Genomic DNA, 24,298 nt, shown 5'->3' with positions numbered 1-24,298 from the left:
CTCTCAAATTTTTTTATCTGGCATAATCAAGACTTTATGCCAATTGTAAAAGTCTATAGTATCTAAGTTAATATGCCAACACATACAATGGGAAAAATTAGGCATTAGATTCCATTTGAAATATTTTGTGCCAAAAAGACTGATAATTTCTATTGAATTTCCCTTTGATATTATTCTAAGTCATAGTCTATTAGAATATCTACGTGCCATAGACATCCAGGAAAGAATATTACAATAATAGGTGCCAAAATTCAAGTTATAGACAGTTGTTGGAAGCTCAGAACATATTTCCAAAAATAGTTTTGTAAATAATAAACTTGCTTTCTAACATAATTTATAATAGAAATTTAAATATAATTTTCAAAAACAAAGTTTCAAGTTGATAAAACCAACTATTCAATTTCACTTTTTTCTTGATTATTGTTGCATGAAGAACAGACTATAAATTAGAAGAGTATGTGGACATGGGCACAAAAGCCATCAAAGATAACATGGCATTGAATATAATGTTGGGAGCTTTTTCAGGACAATATTTATTAATGTCAATGGTTCTTGTAGTAAAAATAATAACATTTATTTGAAGTTTATTATCTGTTATCTTGCTAGAGTACTTTATGATCATTTACTATACTCACATAACTCTGTTGGGTCAGTATAGCCCATCTTTCATAGGGGATAAAGTGTGATTTAGACATTTAAATAATTTCCTTGACATGAGATACTGACCAATTGGAGGAGCAGGAACTGAACTGGAGCCTGTGTGATTTTAATTAGTCCTCTACATACTGCGTTCTTCTCCTGAACTCTGTATTTTGTTCAAATCACATAAAAACTCAGGGATTCCCTTTCTTCTATTTTGATGAATCAATGGATGTTTAGTTGTGATTATAGTCTTTCCTTGTGATACAAATAAACTATGACAACAAAACAAGTGAGAGCAATGCTTATTTCTGGAGAAATAGTAGGAAAAAAGTTAATTTAGGTAGAGGTTGAGAGATAAAAATCCAGATCAAGAGCTAGTTTGAATTAACAGAGTGTTAATATTAAGCAAAATAAGGTGAGCAGTAGGCAAAAATAAGGAAAGAAAGTTTTCAGCTATTTCTCAATGTGATGGGAAATATAACTTTTCTGGTTATGGATGCAATTGAAAGGAAATGGGGAAGAGAAGGTGCATCTTAGAAGGTCAAGAGATGGTACTGGCAAAACAAGCTTAGTGTGAAAGAAACATATTGTAAACATACGATCAACCATTGGTATATGCCAAATATATTTTATTCCAATGATTAACGTCATACTCTTACTGGTTTCCCATCTTGTTCCCTTTCTTTCCACGTGGTTGAGGCTCTTTGGTCGCTAGACACGGCCTACTGGTTGATAACTTTTCCATGAGTTATGAAAAGTGTACTCATTTTATATTTCTGCTGTAATAAATCAATTAAAATTTAGTAACTTAAAACAACATACACATTTGTTAAATGTATTATCTTATGGTTCTATAGGTCAGATATTCAACACAGGTCTCACTGAACAAGAATCAAAGTGTCCAATGAGCTGCTTTCCTTTCTGGGGCTCTATGGGAGGAGCTACTTTTGTATGTTTTCCAGCATGGCTCCTTTTCTTCTATCTGCAAAGCCAGCAACGCCAGGCTGAACTCATCTCACATTGCATAACTCTAACCTCTTTTGTAGTCATCTCTCTCTCTAATTCTCTTCTGCCTCTCATTTTTGAGGACCCTTGTGATTACATTTGGCTCACCTGGAAAATTCAGAATAATCCCTCCCCAAATCCTAAAATTTAATCGCATCTTCAAAGCCCACTTTACTATATAGGGAAACATATTTATAGGTTGTAGAGATTGAGACGTGGACATAGTTGGGACAGAGAAGGACTTTCTGCCTAACACAAAGGGTTTAATAGGTTCAAGTCAAAATAAAGATAACTCAGCAGTGGCAAACAGTTTGCTTGTCCATCTTAATTTGTCTTCATCCCATTAAAGTAACTGAAAAATCTCTTTGATTCTAAGATAACTATCTTATACTCCAAAAATGAAAGAGATTGACCATCACTAATCTTAAACTCTGAAGTGCTAAATGTTCCAAAATCCAAAATTTTCTGAGCACTGATGTAACTCCACAAGTGGAAATTTTCACACCTAACCTCATGTGACAAGTCATAGTAAAAATACAGTCAAGACTTTGTTGCATGCACAAAATCATTAAAATATTTTATAAAATTATCTTTGGGCTATGAGTGTAAGGTGTATATAAGACATAAATTCATTTCATGTTTAGACTTGGGTCCCATCCCCAAGATATCTCATTGTATATATGCAAATATTACAAAGGCAGAAAAAAATGTGAAATCCAAAACACTTCCAGTCCCAAACGTTTTAGATAAGGAATACTCTACCCTTAATTAGATCCTTAATTGACTATTTTGCTTGGTTTCCTTCTTGTTTTCCTCAATCTGTCCAAAGTTAAAAGGGGGGAACAAAAAATGTATTAAGTGTCTACTCTGCAAAACAGTAACTGCTTTAAATATATGATTTAATCTTTCACTTATGTAGTGGTTTTTTTCAGGGAATTATGTTGTACAACTTCAAGGATGTCACCACCGTAGAATACTTCCGCTTTCTTATTACCCATTTTTGCCTATAGAGAAAATAAACCCCAAAGTAACACAGCTAGCAAGTAAAAGTGCAGTTGAATTCAAACCCAGATCTCTCTGACCCCCAAAGCCTATTATTTCTGGTCAAGTTTATTAGATAAAAGATTCTGATATGGAAATTTGCATGCAAGAATTTTGTTGAGATCAATACCTGCAAAGCAGTGGAGGAAATTGGATTGAGAAGAGTTGAACTGCAATGAAGTCTCAAAAAAAGGCATCAGCTAATCTCATGGGGAGCTCTAGAATTGGAATGACTCTTGACAGTAATCCCTGAAGCAAAGGAACCAAGTCTTTTATCTTCCTGCTAGCCAGTCAATAGATACGACGTGCTCCCAGGGAGAGTGTGTGACCTCAGACAAGGAGGCTCCCCTTGCCCAGCTGTTGTCTGTTGTCAGCATTTACAGCAGCTGGGAAGAATGAATACTTTAGTCTTTAAGGGAGGGGATCTGGGAATATCACCAAAGCATCCACTCCACCATGCTCTTACCATGTGTGTTTATTACAATTCCTTCCATTCATTGCATTTGATTTTCTTCCCTAGGTTTCTAGGCCTTCATATTTCCTCATTCCTCCCAGGTGATACCTTTGGAGCGTGTTACTTGACATTAAAATAAAAAGGTTCTGGAGCATTTAAATAGCGGAAAGAAAGACAAGGGAAAGAGAGAGAAGCATGAAATGAGGGAAATAGAGGAGATAAAATAAAAACTGAAATAAAGCTAAAGAAATCTAAACTAAGGCACAGGATGAAGGCCAACATGGAAACCACATCTCAAATTGTTCTCCTTTTGGGATTATGGTTGATGGATCCACTCTTAGAGATCAATTCCTGTCTATAAATTTTAAAAAGTAGTTGCAAGCCAGAAAACCTTGTGGATACAATTCAAGCCAGAGGCCATGAAGACTAACTGACAGTCACTATTTAGAGAGGGGAGAACTAAATCTGAGGAAGTAGAAGTAGGATAATAAATGAGAAACAGAGTGAAGAGCTAAAAGTAGTTTGAGCTGGAATTAATTTAGGAGTATATCCTGAAAGAATAAAGACATGTGGAAAAGTGCTACAGACATGGATGGTGTTTACAGCCTATTGTTTTGCACGGAGGGAGTGATGATGGGGCTTGAGTACATAGCTCTTAGAAGGGTTATGTCTACTCCTCATTTTTGCCTGTTTTGCAAATTGCTCAATTCTTACTCAAGGTAAAAAATCCCTTTATAGCGATGATAGGGCAACAGCAAGTACAGACAGTTACAAAGGGAAATATTTCTGATTTGACAGTAGCAACTTCTATACTTTGCAGTGAGAAACCAATAATTGTTTGCAGAAGATTTTGTAAATCAGGAATTTATTCTGTATAGATGCTGTTACACTGAAGTCTATTTTATCAACAGAAATAAAAATGTAAATATTAGGAGACGAGACAACATTGTTTTTATATTTCTGGGCAAGCACTTTCATTTTCCCCTGAAACATACCTGGCATAGTCTTTCACAGCTAACAAATGTCAAGACATTGCAAAATGTACATTTATAAATAACATATGTAAACATAGATGTGAAGATTATAATAAGGACATGATCTCTTATACCATAGCTACAATATAAATCCATGTGGCTTTCCCATTATTGCATATGAGGGGCTATTTTTCTTTAATATATTTTTTATGAAAAATCTCATATGAATCAATATATACATCTTTCTCAAGAATGTATCAGTTCTATAATAACATAGATAAAACTTAATTTGATTATTGGATTAAGTGCAAAACTAGTTAAAATATTGTCAGAAAATTTGCTCCTTAATGACTTACCACAATAAAATATAATTTTAAAAGTACTTTTTATAGATAAAATTTATTCATTAAGGCACCTAGAGTATTGCCTTTAGAAAGTAAACAGTGTTGTTTGATGATACTTAGTCTATTATGTAAGAGCTACTAAATTGTTTCTTTGGTTCGTGACATGGTGTCAGAGCTTTGAAGTAGAGGAGTTTGAATTTCTGAACATTTTCAGCAGCACAGTTTATGTTTACACTTAATATTAGGTTGATCCAATTAAATTGCTAATATTCAACTTTTCACTTAAAAAAGCAGAAAAAATGTCTGTTGTAAATGAATATTACAAGTTTTAATATTACTGCTTAAAGTTATATCACAGTCTCAGTAGATAAAAATGTGAGGTTTAAGGAACCCTAAAAGGTGTTAAAAGTTACACTGCAGAATGGCTGATGGTTCAGCGGTCAGGTAAGTGGTCATGATGATCCAGCTTCCAAAACAGGAGATCAGGGAAGAAAGTCAATCAGTCATGCAGAAGGAAGGCTTACACACATAACAATGAAAGAGAAAACCCGGAGGCAACACAAGGGAGAAGAGGCCTTTTTATGTTGGGAGGTCAGAGACTCAGGAGAGCAACTATAGCCAGGAAAGTCACATCGCCTGAAAGATCAAAACAAGAAGGCAAGAAAACAGGCCACAGGAAAATGATACTTCAGAGGGAAATTCCTCTCTGAGGTAGGCTCTTCTAGGTAGATATGTCTATGCAGAATAGAACAAATCTAGAGGTAGAATTGTTGGCAGGATGGTTATAATTAGATAATAAAGGTAGATTCTTAGATAGCTATGGTACGATATGAAAATCAAAGTAAATATTATTTTCACCAAATCATAAAGTACTTCTGTAACACATAAAAATGTGCCAATGAAATTACTCAGAAATGTGAAAGTAGTTATATATAAAATGTGGATATCTGAATAAATTCACTTGGACAGTTGGCCCAAATATACAACAAATATTCAACTAATAAATCAATTTATATTGTATTCATCTAAAATGAAACTTTATTGGCATCTTAGCACTGAACATAATTTAAGAAACATTTACGGAATCAATGTGTTAGAGATGTGGCATGAGGGATTCTGTAGTTTATTAGTCATAGAAATTTGAAATTTTAAATCTTAAAACTATGTATGTAGCTTCCAATAACTTTTTCCTGGATAAAATTAATGGACCAACTTCACATGTTAACCAATCATGATTTTGGATCCAGATGTCATTGAAAAGAATGACAAATTGGCAGATTGTGACTTATATCTCAACAGCCAGTGAAATATTTTAATGATATGAAAATATAGATATAAGTCACATGGATCTCAAAAATTAACAATCTAACAAGCATTGTTAGTCTTTCAAGACAAAGAACTTTGATGAAATATTTTTAAAAGACCATCTCATAGCATCATCTAAAGGCGTATATCTTGGTCCAAGTCTGACTTCATTTTCTTTTGAATGTTGCCACGAGTGTGTGAAAGTGCAAGGAAGCCATCAGCCACTTGCTAGGACCCAAAACGGGCCACAGAGAAACACTATGTACTTTAATAACAACAAGTCAAACATATTTCCTGTGAAAGAATGTAACTAAAAAGTCTAGAAAGAGCAAACAATCAGTAAAAAGCAATCATTTCCCAAGTGAAGCCACACCAATACTTGCTAAGACTAGTATGCTTGCAGGAATTTCCCCGAAATACATTTTGCCTTTTTTTTGGGGGGGGGGACAGAGTCTCACTCTGTAGCCCAGGCTGGAGTCCAGTGGCCTGATCTCAGCTCACTACAACCTCCGCCTTCCGGGTCCTGGTTCAAGCAATTCTCCTGCCTCAGGCTTCCGAGTAGCTGGGATTACAGGCACACACCACCATGCCCAGCTAATTTTTGTATTTTTAGTAGAGACAGGGTTTTGCCATGTTGGCCAGGCTGGTCTTGAACTCCTGACCTCGTGATCTGCCCACCTTGGCCTCTCAAAGTGCTGGGATTACAGGCATGAACCACCGTGCCTGGCCCCCAAAATACATTTTCATGTGCATCCACTATAAAGTGGAAAGGGCGCAGAGTGAAGAGGAGATCAGACTCTTCAGATATATCTTCCATGTGACTACCAGAACTAAAGGCACCTAAAAGTGATCATGAATGTCTTAGCTCAGAGTGCTGTATTAAATTTCCATAGGTTGAGTGGCTTAAACAACAAACATTTATTACTCACAGTTCTGGAGGCTTGGAAGTCCAAGATCATGATGTCTGCACATTTGGTTCTGGTGAGGACCCTTTTTCTAATTCACAGATGTACATCTTCTCCTTGTATCCTCACAAGGTAGAAAAAAAGAGAAAGAGAGAGCAAGTTATCTCCTCTCTTCTTATGGCACCACTAATCCCATCATGAGGGCTCCATCCTCAAGACCTAATTATCTCCTAAAGGCCACATTTCCTAACACCATCACACGGGAGATTAGGATTTTAACATTTTGGGGGGACTCAAACATTCAGTCTATGAAAATAAATAGTATTTTCTCAGTAACAAAAATATGTCTAATCCTTCTGTCAAAATAGAATCTTCTGTTTTCAATATGCCTTCTGTGTTTAGTAATCTCTGAGGGCCTTTGGCTACAGAGTTTAATTTCTATGAAAATTAAAAATCTACATTATTCTAGTCCTGTATTATTAAACCACCAACTTTTATATAGAAATATAAAATGGTCATTTGTTCAGATAAAAAATTTATATTTTTTATATTACAAAGAGTCCTTAGTAAAATAGGGGCTTGGGGAATGTTCTCTGCTCTTTTCAGCCTGTTTTCCTAGCATCTGAATGAGCATGGGTTTTTTTGTTCTCAGATCTTGCCATTAGCTGAATCAGTGAGTGGCAAAATTAAAGGGAGAGGGGTATACAATGTAATGCAAAAACATACACACTTACACAATCACATGTGCACCTATTTTTAATCCTAAGAAACTTCCCATTAATTAGAGGAAACCTCTGATACTCTGCACTTAACAGTCCCAATTTTTGTTGTACTCACTTCATTTAAGAGCAATAATGAAGAAAATGAACAAGTATAGGCTCTATACAATAATGTGGGAAAACAAAAAGAGAAAAAGAAAGGGAGGAAGGAGCAGGCTGAGAAAAGCAACAAGAAAAATATTGGTATGAGCAGAAGGAAATCACACTGTTTTATTTTATGAACCTCTCACTTCCTCATACCCCCAAACAACCTCGATGCAAAACAACAAATCAGTATTTCAATACCTCAGAATGTATAGTGACACAAAGATAAAACCCAAACCAGGAGAGACTAAGGAAGATGTTAAAGGTAAATATAAAGCAGTTACAGAAGTGAAAGTCAAAATAGAAGCAGTAAAAAGTCACTGATGAGAGTAATAAGGGGCTCAGAGAACAGAACTGATAAAGTAAGCAAAATGAGTCAAAATGAAAGAATATTGGAAGATGATTGTAAAGAAAATTATATATATATATCACAGAAAAAGTTATGAAACAAAGTATAGAACACTGTCTAGCATACAATAGGCATTAAATAATTGCCTATTATTTCTGATTGCCAGAATCAGAATATTTTTTATTGAATATTCAATAAAATTTTCAATATTGAAAATATTGAAAAATAAATGAACCATCAATAGAAAATTGATGTGCTGGTAGAAACAAACTGTATAAACAGGAAAATTTAAAACATAGAGAAAGATATAATTTAAGAAAACTTTTGAGAAATTATTGTAGACTTGAATCTACAGTTTTATAGGGCCAAATGTATTCTAAAACATTGTGGTATGGTTGTGTCCCCACCCAAATCTCACCTTGAATTCCCACATGTTGTGGGAGAGACCTGGTGGGAGGTAACTGAATCATGGGGGCAGTTCTTTCCTGTGCTGTTCTCATGATAGTGAATAAGTCTCACAAGATCTGATGGTTTTAAAAACGGGAATTTCCCCGCACAAGCTCTCTTCTCTTGTCTGCCACCATGTGAGATGTGCCTTTCACCTTCTGCCATGATTGTGAGTCCTCCCCAGCCATGTGGAACTGTAAAGAAAACTCTTTCTTTTGTAAATCACCCTGTCTCAGATATGTCTCTATCAGCAGCGTGAAAATGGACTAATACAGTAAATTAGTACCAGTAGAGTGGGTCACTGCTGAAAAGATACCCAAAAATGTGGAAGCAACTTTGGAACTGGGTAACTGGGCAGAGGTTGGAACGGTTTGGAGGGCTCAGAAGAAGACAGGAAAATGTGAGACAATTTGGAACTCCCTAGAGACTTGTTGAATGGCTTTGACCAAACTGCTGATAGTGATATGGGCAATGAAATTGAGGCTGAGGCTGATGGAGATGAAGAACTTGTTGGGAAGTGAAGCATAGGTGACTCTTGTTGCATTTTAGCAAAATGACTGGTGGCATTTTGCCCCTGTTCAGGACGTACAGGTTTGTTACATACGTAAACATGTGCCATGGTGGTTTGCTGCTCCTATCAACCTATTACCTAGGTATTAAGCCCCATATGCATTAGCTATTTATCCTGATGCTCTCCCACCCCCCACTCCCTGACAGGCCCCAGTGTGTGTTCCCCCTTGTATTTTTTGAGAGTGTTTCACTCTGTCACCCAGGCTGGAGTGCAGTGACACTATCTTGGCTCACTGTAACCTCCGTCTCCTGGGTTCAGGTGATTTTCATGCCTCAGCCTCTTAAGTAGCTGGGATTACAGGCACACTCCACCGTGCCTGGCTAATGTTTGTATTTTTTTTTTAGTAGAGATGGGGTTTCCTCATGTTGGCCAGGCTGGTCTCAAACCCCTGACCTCAAGTGATCCACCTGCCTTGGCCTCCCAAAGTGCTTGGATTACAGGCATGAGCTGCCACGCTTGGCCCATAGTGGAATTTCTTAATAATACAGAGTCAGTGGAACTAAGTACACAAATTCAACAAATTTTAAATTGAAGGCCCCACAATAGCTTCCATCAGTATGTCTAGCCTGTTAAATAGTTCGCCTTTTCTGAACTCATAATTTTAGCATGGTTGCCTAGGATACTTCATTCTCAACAAATCACTCAGATCCCAGTAGGCAAATAGGTAGCAGTGGGACAGCATTAAAGCTGTTTTAGTCTGGTCACTTTATAAAGACTTGTTATTTCCAGCTGTACCCCCTAACTATTGTGGTACATGACTTTATTGTGCTATGAAGCCACTCCATCCATTCATGCATCCATTCAGCAAACATTTGCTGATCCCCCTTGGTAGGCTAAGCACACATGAATGCTACTTCCTCACAAATAAAGCTTAAGGGTTTGATTCTTGTGTCTCACATGTACGCTGCATGGCTTTAAATCACTTAGCTTAATTTACAGATTTCTAAGTCCAATCTTATCCTTTATACATAAATAGCAAATTTTCAGTGCAATGAGCCAGCATCTCCAATAGTAGACAGAGCCACTGTCTTCCAGGCCTGTAGGTAATCTGAGTCCAATAATTCATAAAACTTTGAATTGACTACACATGAAACTAGCTTGTGTTATGTTTCTCTTAGAAGTAAATCTTTCATTTTCTGTTAATTCATATATAGCTATTAGCGGTAGCCACAATAGTGGTTTAAATCTGGATTCAAAAAATACAGGAGTTTCAGGTTAATTAGATAAAATTTGAATTTCAACACTCTAAATACTTGTGGCATTTTCTTTCAAACTGTTACCAACAAAAATTGAATGAAAATATTGTTATTTTGTTTGAGATGGCTTTGAGGGAAAAGGAACATAACGATTTTACTGCTGTAATACTGACTTAAAGTGATCTAAAATACTCATTTTTGTATATGCTATGAGACTGCACTGATTAGGCACCAAAGAAGATACTATTAATCATCTTTAATGCAAGTCTAATTATAAGATAATGTCAATGACATACTGCAGGATGTTGTCACAAGATAACTTGTCTTCTCTCTCCTGCTGTTACATAAATGCTGAGACAAAACTGAAATGTTTATTCTCAAAGCAGGAGACATTGCTCTTGTAATCAAGCTCTATTTCAGTCACTTTATGTCTAATACTGACTATCAGATTAATGCTTGTATTGATTCTTTCTGTATGTTGGATATAGGTGTTCCAGTAGTAGCTTGAGGTATCTTTGCATAAATTTTTAAATTTATGACCTTTATGTCAGGATTATATTTGATTTCAGTATGAAAATGGCATTTTTTTTCACCTGTGACAATTAGTAAATTCAATTAGATATGTACAGGCTGATTTCTATATAAAGCAACTATATGGTTCAGTTGATCTTATTCTTTCACCAAGTATACAGACAAGTGAGAATTTTTATTATGGCCTTAGTATAATGGTACATTGCAAAGATTCTAAATGAATATGTTTTATATTATGGATACATATATTTGAGATATGTCCTACTTATTATTTTAGAGGGATTTTAATTCAATGATCAAGCATGGACATTGAACAAAGCAAAGTTTAGCAGTATGTTGTTGAGAGGATAGAATATTAGCAAATAAAAGAAGAAAAAAATCAATGAAAATCATATAAATTTCAATTCTTAATTATATAATTTCTGGGATAATGTCAATATTGTTAATGTTCTATATCATATGTGCACTTTTCTTATATTTCTACATCAACCAAGTTATAGATCTAAGATGAATATGTATTTATGTGAGACTTGAGTAAGTAAGCAAAAATAAAGCCCAGAAGAATGGAGAGTGAACTCATCTTATCTATCTTTGGCTGGCAATTGGCAATAAGGATATGACCTTGTCCACAGGAAGGCAGTGTGGTGCAGGGGAGTAAACATCAGATTTGATCAACCTACATTTGAATTCCTGTTCTACTACTTACTTGCTGTGTGATCTGGGCAATTATTTCAAACCCTTGAGCCTCACATTCCCTATTTGTTAAATTGGGAGAGTTTTGAAGCATAAATGGGATTATGCAGTTCATGGAGAACAAGGACTGAGGAATCCGGAGACCCGGTTTGAAGCTTAACCATACCTTTAGTGTTTTATTTAAATTTTATTCAGTTATTTAAGAGAAATAATAAAACCTACCTCTCAGTAGTGTCTTGAAGATTATGAAATAGCAGATATAATACATTTAGCAGAATGCCTAGAATATAAGGGATGGTTATTATTAATATAAAAAAGCTTCCAGAGAGTGATAGACCTAACTCTTTTATATAGGGTGGTCAGAGAAGGCTTTTTGCTAAATGGTATTTGAGCACAGACTTAAAAAAAAAAGATGAAGAAAATGGGACAGGTGGAAATCTGGAGGAAGAATATTTTGAACAGGGAGGAAAATAGTCACGAAGCATCAAGGACAGATCCACATTAGGTGTACTCAAGGAAAGACCAATGTAGCAAGAGCTGAGTGATTGAAACAAATAAATAAACAAACAAAACTGGGCAGGGAGAATGAGGACAGAAAAAGAGCAGAGGTTCAGGCCACACATGACCCCAGAGATAGTGATGATGATTTGGTTTTACTGAATGGTAGGATTTGGCTAGATGAACAGTGACCAATCCTGGTTTTTGCATGGAAGACGTAGAGAGTAAGGATTTAAATGGTGAAACCAGTTAGGAACCTATTGCCCAAGACCAGGTAGGGAGTAATACTGGTTGAACTAAGGTGATGGTGTTGAAAGTGATGAAATATGGCTGCATTCTGGATATATTTTGAAGTTGACATTAATGAGTTTTACTGGTTGATTTAAATGACATGTAGAAGACAACTAAATGATAAAGATTTGGGCCTGAGCAACTACAAGAATAGAGTTACCATTTACAAAGAGGAAAAGACCAGGGGAGAAATAGATTGATGAGAAAGCAATTAAGAGTTTTAGATTCAATATATTGCCATATACCAAATTCAAGGGTTAGAGCAGTTATGAATGTTAAATGTGTGTCAATGATTTTAATGCAGTCATCATTGAGTGAAATATCAATTATCTCTGTTAACTTCGTAAAAGAAGTTCTGTTCTGAATTTTAGTCCAACTTTATACTGAATCACTTTTGCATGAGTTAAAAGTTGCAAAGTTATTGTAAAGGCTCTCAAAATATATCAAAACCAATTTTATGAACTACTAATCAGTAATTACACAGTTAAATAAAAATGTACGTGCACTTAGATTCACTGGCTTTTATGTATTAATTATAAACCAGATGATATTTGAACACTCATTTTGTAAAATCTAAAAGTATAATAGTTAGGAGACCGTTTAAAACCTCTTAAACGTCAGACAATTTTACTAATTTTCAAGTAATTAATATTGCTAACTTCAAAGATAAATAACACCATTCTTTTTGACATTTATTTTAAAGAAGAGCCATTTTTTAAATCTTACATTTTGCAATTGAATAGCAAGGTATGTAGTAAGTTTAAAGACTAGTTCCTAGGATGGCAAAAATATTTATGAATTTTTAATAATAGTGATATTATGCTGACTATTGTCTAGCAATCCAGCTATCTTACCGTATAGTTTTCCATCTATAATTTGGGTCAGCTATTTCCTTCTTGTTAGAGCATCTAATTTAACCAAATCATACTGATTTTCTTCTAAAGTAGAAAGAGTGGTAGAACTTGATTATTAAACACAGGCTTCATCTTCAGAATGTAATTTGAGTCCCAGCACTGCCAATAGTTAGCTATATAATATTGCGTTAGTGATTTCATTCCTTACAGCCTAGTTTCCCTAGCAAAACAGGCGCTGATCTCGTAGATTTAATTGGGGAATAATGTATGTAAAGAACTTAACCGCATACCAGTGAGGTGGAAAGTACTCAAAAAGAATGTTTGCTGTTAGTATTCTTTGTATTGTTGTTATTTCTTATTACTACTACTATTATTATTATCATGCTCATTATATTGTGAAAAATCTATTCACTATTCTACCTTCCACCTTGTTAATGAACCAGTCTCATGCATGACAACCATAGGATTAAGTACTAAAATGTTTTAATTGGGAAACTTTTTAGCTAACTGCTAAAACAAACAAAAAACCTATGAGAGAAATAGAACTTTAAGACTTCACTATCAAATAAAATAATATAAAGGTATTTTCTTCTCAAGACAGTTTTGGGTATTTGAAATTAATAAAGCCTGGAATGATTTTGTGTCCTCTGCTGCGGTATGTGAGTAATTGTGGAAAAATTACATGATCTTCTGCCAAAATAAAATGTACATGGGTTTAAGTCTTTCTGATTCTAAAGAAATAATCAAAAAGTACACATGTATTTATAAGTGTCTCTGTTTCTTTATTCGCAGAGTTTTTGACTGTACACAATGTTTGCAACAGAAAAATCTCAACAATAACAACAAAAAAGTTAACTTCAGAAAAATAAACAAGTATTTACTCCATTAAAAGTTATTACCCCTTCCTTGGCTTTTTAGAGGCCAGCAGGCAAATTCTGAAGTACAGCGATACTTTGTTGACACCAGATTAATCATATTTAGAAACAATTGAAAGGAGACTAAATTTAATTGTATTTTTCCTTTTAGGTTAATGGAACTGAAGAAGGTAATATGATTCAGCAAATTGATAAAGGAGATTAGTTGTCACAAGTGCATTTTTAAAAATAGGTAAACATATCAATATTTTTATATATACCTTCTATAAATATGCTTATTATTTTCCCAGAAGGCTGTAATAGCTTTTTTGGATACTAAGGAGTGCCTGAAGTGAATTTTTATGGCCCAGTTATAAACTCCTAAAAGAAGGGTTTATAATGGAAACATGGTGAGATATTTAATATTGGCACTTAAATAGATACTTCTGAGCCCCATATTTGTTTGAAAATAGTAACAGCAGTTACATTTTCTCCCAGAGGTATATTTTCTTTAGCTACATGTCTAAGTATCTCTAATTACATCAGTGCTCTTTGTGCCTATTCAAAGTTGATACTAAATATTGCTTTCCATTATCATCACTTTCTTATTTTAGAGCTTTTTAAAAGTACTCTACCCAATAAAATATCTGTGGAAATTGCATTTTGAGACTGAGTGAAATGTTTTCCATTGATAAAGATTGAAAGGCAAAACATTTCCTTTTCTTAAAATCAAAACTTCTAGAGGCAATTGACATTTGAATAAGACAAAGGGCAAAAGACATTTGAATAACTTGTTTTAGAATAGATATTATCTACTTTGATTAGAAAAAGATAAGGATGACAACAATAACTCATTTATTACATATTAGTTTACAGTTTACTATGCACTTTATAAACATACATTATTTTATTCAAAAAGTTATTTTAAAAATTAAAATGAGCATATATGTTTGTAAAGTGTTACTAGATAAAGGGTTCTGATCGTGAGTCATCTAGGCTCTTGATGTATTGAACAAGGATTTGAACAGCATGCATGAACAAGCAACAAAAGCATAGATTTATTGACACAAAAGGCAACAGAAACATAGATTTATTAAGGTGAAAATACCCTCTACAGAATTGGAGCGGGCTCAAGCAAGCAGCTCAGGAGCCCTGGTTACAAAATATTCTGGGGTTTAAGTACCCTTTAAAGATTTCCCATTGCTTATACGCTATGTAATAAAGGATGGAAGTGGAGGTTTGACTCTGGCCAATCAGAGGCTGAAATGGATTGGCACCTTATGCAAATGAAGGATTGGCCCACGCTTGGCCCACGTCCAATCAGAGGTACTTTCCATTTTCCATCTGTGACGCAGTGGAAGGGGGTGGGGGTTGTGGAAGGAGTAGCATTTGATCCTTTGTCACTTGGGCATGGAGAGGTGGGGTTTTCCTTTTGATCCAGTTCTAGGACGTCAGCATGAATTGACCTTAGCTTCCCTGCCTCCAGACCCTATTCTCCTGCTTCATGTGGGCTACTCTTTCTTTCTCATCAGCCAGATAAGGATTTAGTTAGTTAATATTTGAATTGAACTGAATCAGCATCTCAGCCACATATAGGTGAAACTTCAATTAGAAGTTTAAGGTAAATGAAACTTCATGCAGTAGTCCGTGTCTATAATAATTTCCAAAGAAACTGAAGCTTCTGAGTTCATATCACAAATGGGATAGATTTAGGACAATAGCAGCCACTTTCACTTTTAAGTCTACTCTGATGATTTATTTTTCACTTCAGAAGTACAGAGAAAAAATAGATTCTGAAATATATTTATTAATATAAATAGGATAGATACTGCTCCCCACCCAAATCTGCTCAGTTTGTAATAAGGTAGATATTTTACCAAAACTTACTCTAAATGTGATTTTCTAGCAGTTATATTGGCAAATGAATTAAAATTGAAATCTGAAAACCCTCTTGCAGATTAGCTTTAGGAGCCTAAGGATCAATGAGACAAGAGAACTTCACAAAATGTAAACATATTTTTGAGCCATATCACAATGAAAATATTACCACTTGAATTCATCTTTAATACAGAGTAAATGTATTATAATACAAAATATAAACAGAATACATATATAAACAAAAAATTTTGTTTATATAAAATATAAACAATGTATATATATTGTTTAGAATAAGACTATTTCTTTTAAACACCAGTTTTCTATGCCCAGGGCTGCATTTTAGTTAGAACTTCTAAAAAAAGTTAAAATAATCAATAATATTGATGTTTGTTCTTGAAGTTTCAGTTTGGATGTATTCAAAGCCTCACACATATCTGTCCAATAAAAGCACAGCAGTATAAGTTGACATTATTTAAGAAATTAGATGTCGCTCTTCCATGTCCCAAATACCAGCCAGACACAATGTCTATTTTGCTTTTTGATCTGTTCAAGCATATTCCTCTTTGGAAATCCATGGACCATATGGAACACAAGGACTTTGAGACTGTTCTTATCTTCATGAAACAAGCCAGTGCTTTGGTATTTTACACTCATTTGTCACATAGTTTATATCTTGATTGTAAAGGCCATTCAGAGCTAACTGAGAGCCTGTATGTCTCTATGTCTCGTAAGATTGTTCACTGTTTCCTGCTCATGATTTCTTTCAACTTTCCTGGAACACTATCAGTTCCAGTCCAACATTTTTTTTTTTTTCAAATTAAGTGCATTTATCTTCAATCATTTCAACACAACTTTAAGGATAATGTGGAAGCTGGTAACGATCACCAAACCCTCACTAAGTAACATTTTTCATATTGTCTTTTGCCACACAGCAAATATAAACAAATAGATAATCATAATTTCCTTAATTGTAACTAAAAGCCCAAAAGGAGTAATGATCTGAGTTTTGCAAAGTTTATATCTCCAAAACTCAGCAGTTTTACAGTTGACTGAGAATTGGACAAAGAAATATTCAGAAGTATCTTTACATGTGTATTTCCTAGTACAATTTTGATTACAGCATAGCTTTATTTATAGTTTCTACTCTAAATTTAAAAATGTGTTATATATCATATTAACAGTTGAATTCACTCAATTACTTTCTCACTCCTTTTCTTTTTCCCATAGTATAGATAATTTTGCAGAGGTTTATTTTCTTCATACGTAATTACAGTGAATTTATTTTTTGAATAAAATAAATTATAATTGTGTAAAGAATTTTTTTAATAGGACAAACATTCCGCTGTCCCAGAGTAAGGATTCTATTATTCTCCTTTCTCTGCTCTCTCAATCACAATAATCATATTCAATGACAGGTTTCTTAATAGTGAGTCTTGTCTCCCTAATGTGCTATGCAGAACCTATGGCCTGGAATATTGTGAATGTTTATAAATGTTTATATTTTAGAAGCAACCTTATTTCCTGATTTCAGATTCAGTTAACCCTTACTGAATGCCTTCTGTGTGACAGTTTTGTGATAATGAATTTCTCACCTTTTTGTCACATCTATTTTTAAACTGCTACTCATAACGAATCTGCAAGATAACCATTATTGTCCTGCTTTTAAAATCTAAGACAACAAGCTTAAGGGTAACAATGCTAATGAAATTAACCTAGCTATGAAGCAACATATCCAGGATTAAACCTAGATGTTTTGACTGCAAGCCTAACCCATTTTTCAACATAGTCCAAGATTGTTTGTTATTTATGTTTGCATCAGAATGATAGCCTGTTAAAAAGAAATAAATGGACTGATACAAACCATCAGGGTTTCAATAGCTATTTAATAGTACTAATGACAGCTAACATTTGTAGGATAGTTACTTTGTAGGAGACACTATGGTTCACTTTGTATTGTATGCTGTATTATTATAATTAGAAGGAATTGCTATTTTACACTCTGCCATAAAGGAAATATGTATACTCACATGAATATATGTGTGTGTGTATATATATATATATATATATACACACACACATATATATGTGAATATATGTGTGTGTATATATATACATATATACATACATATATACATACATATATGTATATATACACACATATATAAAATATATATACATATATAATATATACACACATATATAAAATATATGTACATATATAATATATACATTTATAAATATAAAATTTTTTATATTTATATTTATAAAATATAAAATATAAAAATATAAATTTATATATAAAATATATATTTTTAAAAACTCTAACTCTAGAAGCATTATAATCAGAGGCTGTGTAATGCAGCAATATAGAGATGTACAGAGTCCTACAAACACCAGTGAGATACAGAAAGCTGCATTTATTAATAAGCAAATGATGACCAGGCATCAGCAAACTCAAGTTTACTTATGTTTATAACTCTGACATTTTTTGAAAGAAGCAAATTAGTGTATAATGAATTCTAGAAGGTTTCCATCCAAACTAGGTAAAAGTTTTTTGTTTTATTTTCTCTCCTTTTTTACTGCAAGGTATAAACCCTCAAATATCCTGAAGACCTTGCTGTTTAAACTATCCTTCTCATCCAAAATATTACAGCAGAAAGCTTTACAGAGGTTTATATTTAATTATTTACTAGCAGTCATAGTTAAATAAATGTATACTGTACAAGTTAAAAAAAAAAGTAAAAAATCACCAGAAGCAATTTATTTTACTTTCCAATTTTCACATGTCCATGCAAAAACTTAACCAAAATTGAGCTGCAGATTATTATTTAGGGAGTTTCTTAAATTGGGTGAATGATTTTTAATCATTTTAAATGTCATTTATCAAACTTCTCTGTTGAGGTTCAAGAATAATTTTTCCCAGTTGAGATAAAAAAGAAAATTATTCATAAAGTATATCTCAAATTTAATATTCTGAATTAGTGGATACCTCATAATTCTAACAGCTCTTACCATTCAAAAATTTTATAGCTTAGTTCACTGAGCCAGGATAACTCCACTTTTTGTTATATTTCTTGAAGTCTTATATGTGAACATTAAAGTTGCTAGTTATTTCACAGTTTTTATTTTGTTCTAATACAGCATCTGCATATAACAATCTCAGAACAAGTTTACACTAAATCTTTGAAATTGTGAAATTAATCATAATTATAATATATTTAAAAATGTAGAAGCCTAAAACTTTAGAGGAAATGTAATCTTGGAAAACACCTAATCATTATGGAAACCAGCAGGGTGCAGAGAACTTAAGTGTCGTTCTGAAGGTCACAAGTTAATTTATTAGAAACAATAAAATACCAAATCTGTTCCTATGGTCCTAGTTCTTTCCATTAAATATGTGTATCTTTATAATCAAGAACATGTACAGTAACTGTGAGAATATTTCATTGTTGGATTGCTTACACTAAGGAAGAAATTGCCCGGTCAGTGATGCCTGGGGAGCAGACGACAATCTTGTTCATTGAAGGCAATGGTTACAATTCGAAAAAGTTTTCGAATGGATTGCCAGACAAAGGGAGCGTTGAGTAAAATTACCTGTGCATGTAGAAACTAACTAATTTAAACCCAGTAAAAAGGGACTTGTATTAGTCCGTTTTCACACTGCTGATAAAGACATACCCGAGACTTGGTAATTTATAAAGAAAAAGAGGTTTAATGGACTCACAGTTCCACGGGGCTGGGAAGGCCTTACGTGGCAGCACACAAGAAAGAATGAGAGCCAAGTGAAAGGTGTTTCCCCTTAAAAAACAATCAGATCTCGTGAGACTTATTTACTACCATGAGAACAGTATGGGGGAAACCACCCCCATGATTCAATTACCTCCCACTGGGTCCCTCCCACACCACGTGGGAATTATGGGAGCTACAATTCAAGATGAGATTTGGGTGGGGATGCAGCCAAACCGTACCAGGACTTGAGGCCAAAGGTAAGATTTTGGTCATAACCCATAATATAAATCAATTTGAAGGGTATATATGTTTTTAAACAGCATACATTTTACAAAGTTCTTAGCAATGAGTAAGAGTGGGAGGGACATCCTCTTACCTTCCAAAATTTCAGAAGTTATCCTGATTCTATGAAACATAACTGAAAAAAACATAGAAATTTTTCTTAAATATATTGACATCAAAAGCTAAACCCTATATAAAAATATATGCAACCTACAGAATGGGAGAAAATGTTTGCCACCTACTCATCTGACAAAGGGCTAATATCCAGAATCTACAATGAACTCAAACAAATTTACAAGAAAAAAACAAACAACCCCATCAAAAAGTGGGCGAAGTATATGAACAGACACTTCTCAAAAGAAGACATTTATGCAGCCAAAAAACACATGAAAAAATGCTCATCATCACTGGCCATCAGAGAAATGCAAATCAAAACCACAATGAGATACCATCTCACACCAGTTAGAATGACAATCATTAAAAAGTCAGGAAACAACAGGTGCTGGAGAGGATGTGGAGAAATAGGAACACTTTTACACTGTAGGTGGGACTGTAAACTAGTTCAACCATTGTGGAAGTCAGTGTGGCGATTCCTCAGGGATCTAGAACTAGAAATATCATTTGACCCAGCCATCCCATTACTGGGTATATACCCAAAGGATTATAAATCATGCTGCTATAAAGACACATGCACATGTAGGTTTATTGCAGCACCATTCACCATAGCAAAGACTTGGAACCAACCCAAATGTCCAATAATGATAGACTGGATTAAGAAAATGTGGCACATATACACCATGGAATACTATGCAGCCATAAAAAAGGATGAGTTCATGTCCTTTGTAGGGACATGGATGAAGCTGGAAACCATCATTCTCAGCAAACTATCGCAAGAACAAAAAACCAAACACCGCATGTTCTCACTCATAGGTGGGAATTGAACAATGAGAACACATGGACACAGGAAGGGGAACATCACACACTGGGGCCTGTTGTGGGGTGGGGGGAGTGGGGAGGGATAGCATTAGGAGATATACCTAATGCTAAATGACGAGTTAATGGGTGCAGCACACCAACATGGCACATGTATACATATGTAACAAACCTGCACGTTGTGCACATGTACACTAAAGCTTTTAAAGTATAATAATACTAAAATTTAAAAATATGTATATATATGAATGTCATTTGACTCAATGTTAATCATTAATTTGATACATAAAACTAAGCTAATCTTAATATTCACCAGAAAATAGTCAAATTCCAAAAAGGAATAGAAATATATTTATATGTAATCACTTTATATAATATGTATTATATATTCATTATTTCATATGCTTATATAATGTATTTACTTTTAGAAATACATATTTTAACTTTTAAACCTGTACTCTGGTGAGACTCTATAGGAGGGTTTTTTTTTATTTTTTGTTTGTTTGTTTCAACATAGATCACATCAGAAAGTCTTGAAATGACTAGGTGCTTTCTTCAGAGTATTTAAATTTTATGTAGTTGTTAAAAATTATGTTCACAACAGATAAAATTTTAATGGATAAGTTACACAGGGAATAATGTCAAATGACTCAGCTTGTCAGAAATGTTAAGTGCCCTTCACACATCCCTAAGACTGGAGAATGTCATTTCACACCCGTGTCAACCTATTTAGAATGAAGTCAAGGACTGTGTGGAGCTTTTATTCTCACTTACACAGGACCTACAAAAAAAGTTTGATAATGTTATGCTCTAGAGACACTTAAGTTTACCTCAATGTATATATTTTTTTCTTACAGCATACCTATTCTGTTAGTTACAGAGACAAAGAATTTTAATGTTGTAAGAAACTTACAGAAAATGTAGGGAAACTCTTTAAATACACAGGTTAAGAAACTAAAGCTCTGATTAATTAAATGACTTCTCCAAGCTACTGCCTTTTATTATTGACACAGACAAAACCAAACCCGGTGCCTGGCTTCTAGGGAAGGGCTGTTCTGCAGCTGTACCACACTATGCCATCTCCAAAACAATTTGTATGTCATATAATATTGAAATAACCTTCTTACTATCACAGGAGTCTTTTCAACTCTCATTTTTAGTTGCTCGAGCAAGTTTTAAAATCTTCCCAGAGCCTGCTCTGTTTTACTTTTGGAGGGTAAATTTTCCTGACCCCCTCTAGATTCTTTATACTCACTTATCTCGAACTTGTTCTATCCCAGTCTCTCACACTGATTGTTCACCTTCTAAGCTCCAGACATTTGTAAAGGGTATATAGATCCCTCTAATTCATCTACTTTATATTTTTATTGATATATTTTGAAACTTTACATCTTTTGCTGTAATCTATTTAATATTTCTTTTCTTGAATTATCTGTATAATATCACAACTTGTAAACTTAAAAAATGTACAACAATTTGTTAAAACCGCATAAATATTGAATAAAAGGACTTAGTGTGGATTTAGCCTTTAACTTCCAAGAGCAAATCTCTACTCTTAATGTGCTCAAATCTCTCCCATTAAGAAGCAAATTCTATACTAATTTGCCTTGCACATGTCTTTCTGGTGAATATCCTTTGTTGTTCCTCCTCTTTATAGCCAAAATACTGAAGATGTTTTTCATATTTTCTATTTTCACAGCTCAAGTCTGATCCAATACTGTCTACACATTCATCACTCTTGCCCTGGGTGCCAATGACTTCCATCTCTCTTTCTTCAGGGAGATTTCTGTTATCTGCATCTTAAATGAGTTCTTAGCAAGATGTATTACAGTTAGATACCTGAAACCCCCTTTTTCCCTTGGTTTCTGTGACATTATATCTCCTACTCTATCCCGCTTCAGGCTTCTTCTCCTTTACCTGGAATACCTCAAGACTTGTTACTAGGCCCTTTCACCTTTAGCTTTATTGACCACATATGTAACCTCGTAACTTTTATATACAACCCAGACCTCTCCTCTGAGATCCAGGCTCATTTTCCCAACTACCACATTGGCATCTCCTCTTGAATATTTTGAAAATAATTTAAATTTTTACATGTAAAACTGAATTTATGACTGTCCCCCTCAAAATTAATAGTGTTCCCTATCTCCCATCTCCATGAATGGCAATGCTATCCATTTTGTTATGCAAGTAAAAGTTCTATGTCATCTTCATCAGCTGCTTCTCACTCAACATCAGTCTGTTTCTGTGCCTGGCCCCATCTGGGATGCTGAAATGGCGTATTGTTTTTTTCATTCTCATGTCCTTGTGTGGTTGATATTATTATTTTCTCCATGTTGCACTCTCCATATCCAATCCATTGCTATATCACTTTAGTTTTGCCCTGTAAGTAGCTCCTAAATCCATCACTTCATTCCATTTCACTCCATCCTAGTCCAGGCTGCTGTCATCTCTCACTTGAATTACTCAAATGACTTCACGGTACTCCTCATCTCACTGACTTTTTTTTTTTTTTGAGCTGGAGTCTTGCTCTGTCACCTGGGCTGCAGTGCAATGGCATGATCTCAGTTCACTGCAACCTCTGCCTCCTGGGTTCAAGCGATTCTCCTGTCTCAGCCTCCTGAGTAGCTGGGATTACAGGCACGCACCATCACGCCTTCTAATTTTTGTACTTTTAGTAGAGATGGGGTTTTGCTGTGTTGGCCAGGCTGGTCTCGAACTCCTGACCTCAGGTGATCCACTTCCCTCAGCTTCTCAAAGTTCTGGGATTACAGGCGTGAGCCACCGTGCCTGGCCTTCCTCGCTGACTTTTGCTCTCCCTCAGTCTATAGTTAAAGTGATGTTTTCCTAACAGATCTCTGATCATTTTTCTTATACGATCACCTCCTCAACTCTCCTTAACAGTGTATTTTAAACCTGGTTTGATCTGTCACCTGCCTTTCCAGACTCCCTGAGCCTCAGGCTCATCTATTAAAGCCACACCAAATTCCTTTGCTCCTTTCCCCGGGCTCTCTTTCCTCCCCTTTTTGCTATGTATGTCTTGCACTTTTTGCAGATTTCAGTTCAACTGGGTCTTGAGCAGGGAATTCTGACCTGCTTTCAAAAGTCAATGTGCCTGTTACATTCTTCCACATCACATTGTCCCTTTGTAGCATTATCCCAATCAGAATTTGAAATCTATTTTAGAGATTATTCTAACAACATCTAGCTTCCCAATATATTGTTTGCTGTACAAATTTGTGTTTGTCTTCTCTTACTTTTTATCACCAGAAGTTAGTATGGTATCTGCTTTATAGCAGCAATTCAGCAAATTTTTTCTGAATAGGTGAATGTTTATAGACTTCTGGTCTTTCTCTGTGCCTATGCATACACATACACAATCACACATGCATATACATCATATCATGCTCATGCATGACCCATACACAGAAATACCTGCCCTTTATAAGGGCATAACCACACAAGTAAACAAAATTGTGATAATAAAACACTTATTACTTATACAACTTGATTTTCTGGTATATCAATATCACTTAAGCATTTTACTAAACAATCTCATTAATTTTTCTATAACATGGTTTAAATGGTCACATATTATTCTACTATATTAATATGACATAATGTATTAAACCAATGCCCCTATATTTTACTGTTAGAGA

The 24,298-nt window shown here is 34.6% G+C and overlaps 1 protein-coding gene across 24 annotated transcripts in view; it reads left to right on the top strand.

Moving 5' to 3' along the window:
- DGKB (diacylglycerol kinase beta) overlaps nucleotides 1-24,298 on the top strand; it is an 829,810-nt gene that overhangs the window by 538,724 nt on the left and 266,788 nt on the right. The window contains exon 22 of one of the 24 annotated variants that reach the window (XM_017011791.2): nucleotides 13,990-17,713. The exons of 22 other annotated variants lie outside the window; for them this stretch is intronic. In XM_017011791.2, coding sequence (XP_016867280.1) covers nucleotides 13,990-14,017 — 28 coding nt within the window. In that variant the 3' untranslated portion in view covers nucleotides 14,018-17,713. Of the gene's footprint in view, nucleotides 1-13,989; nucleotides 17,714-24,298 lie in introns of those variants that run through there. One more of the 24 variants, XM_047419930.1, reaches the window with a different exon arrangement.

Source organism: Homo sapiens, chromosome 7 (genome assembly GCF_000001405.40).
Source record: "Homo sapiens chromosome 7, GRCh38.p14 Primary Assembly".
Taxonomy (NCBI): Eukaryota; Metazoa; Chordata; class Mammalia; order Primates; family Hominidae; genus Homo; species Homo sapiens.
The sequence above is the reverse complement of the archived record's forward strand: the minus strand, read 5'-3'. Positions and strand labels throughout refer to the sequence as shown.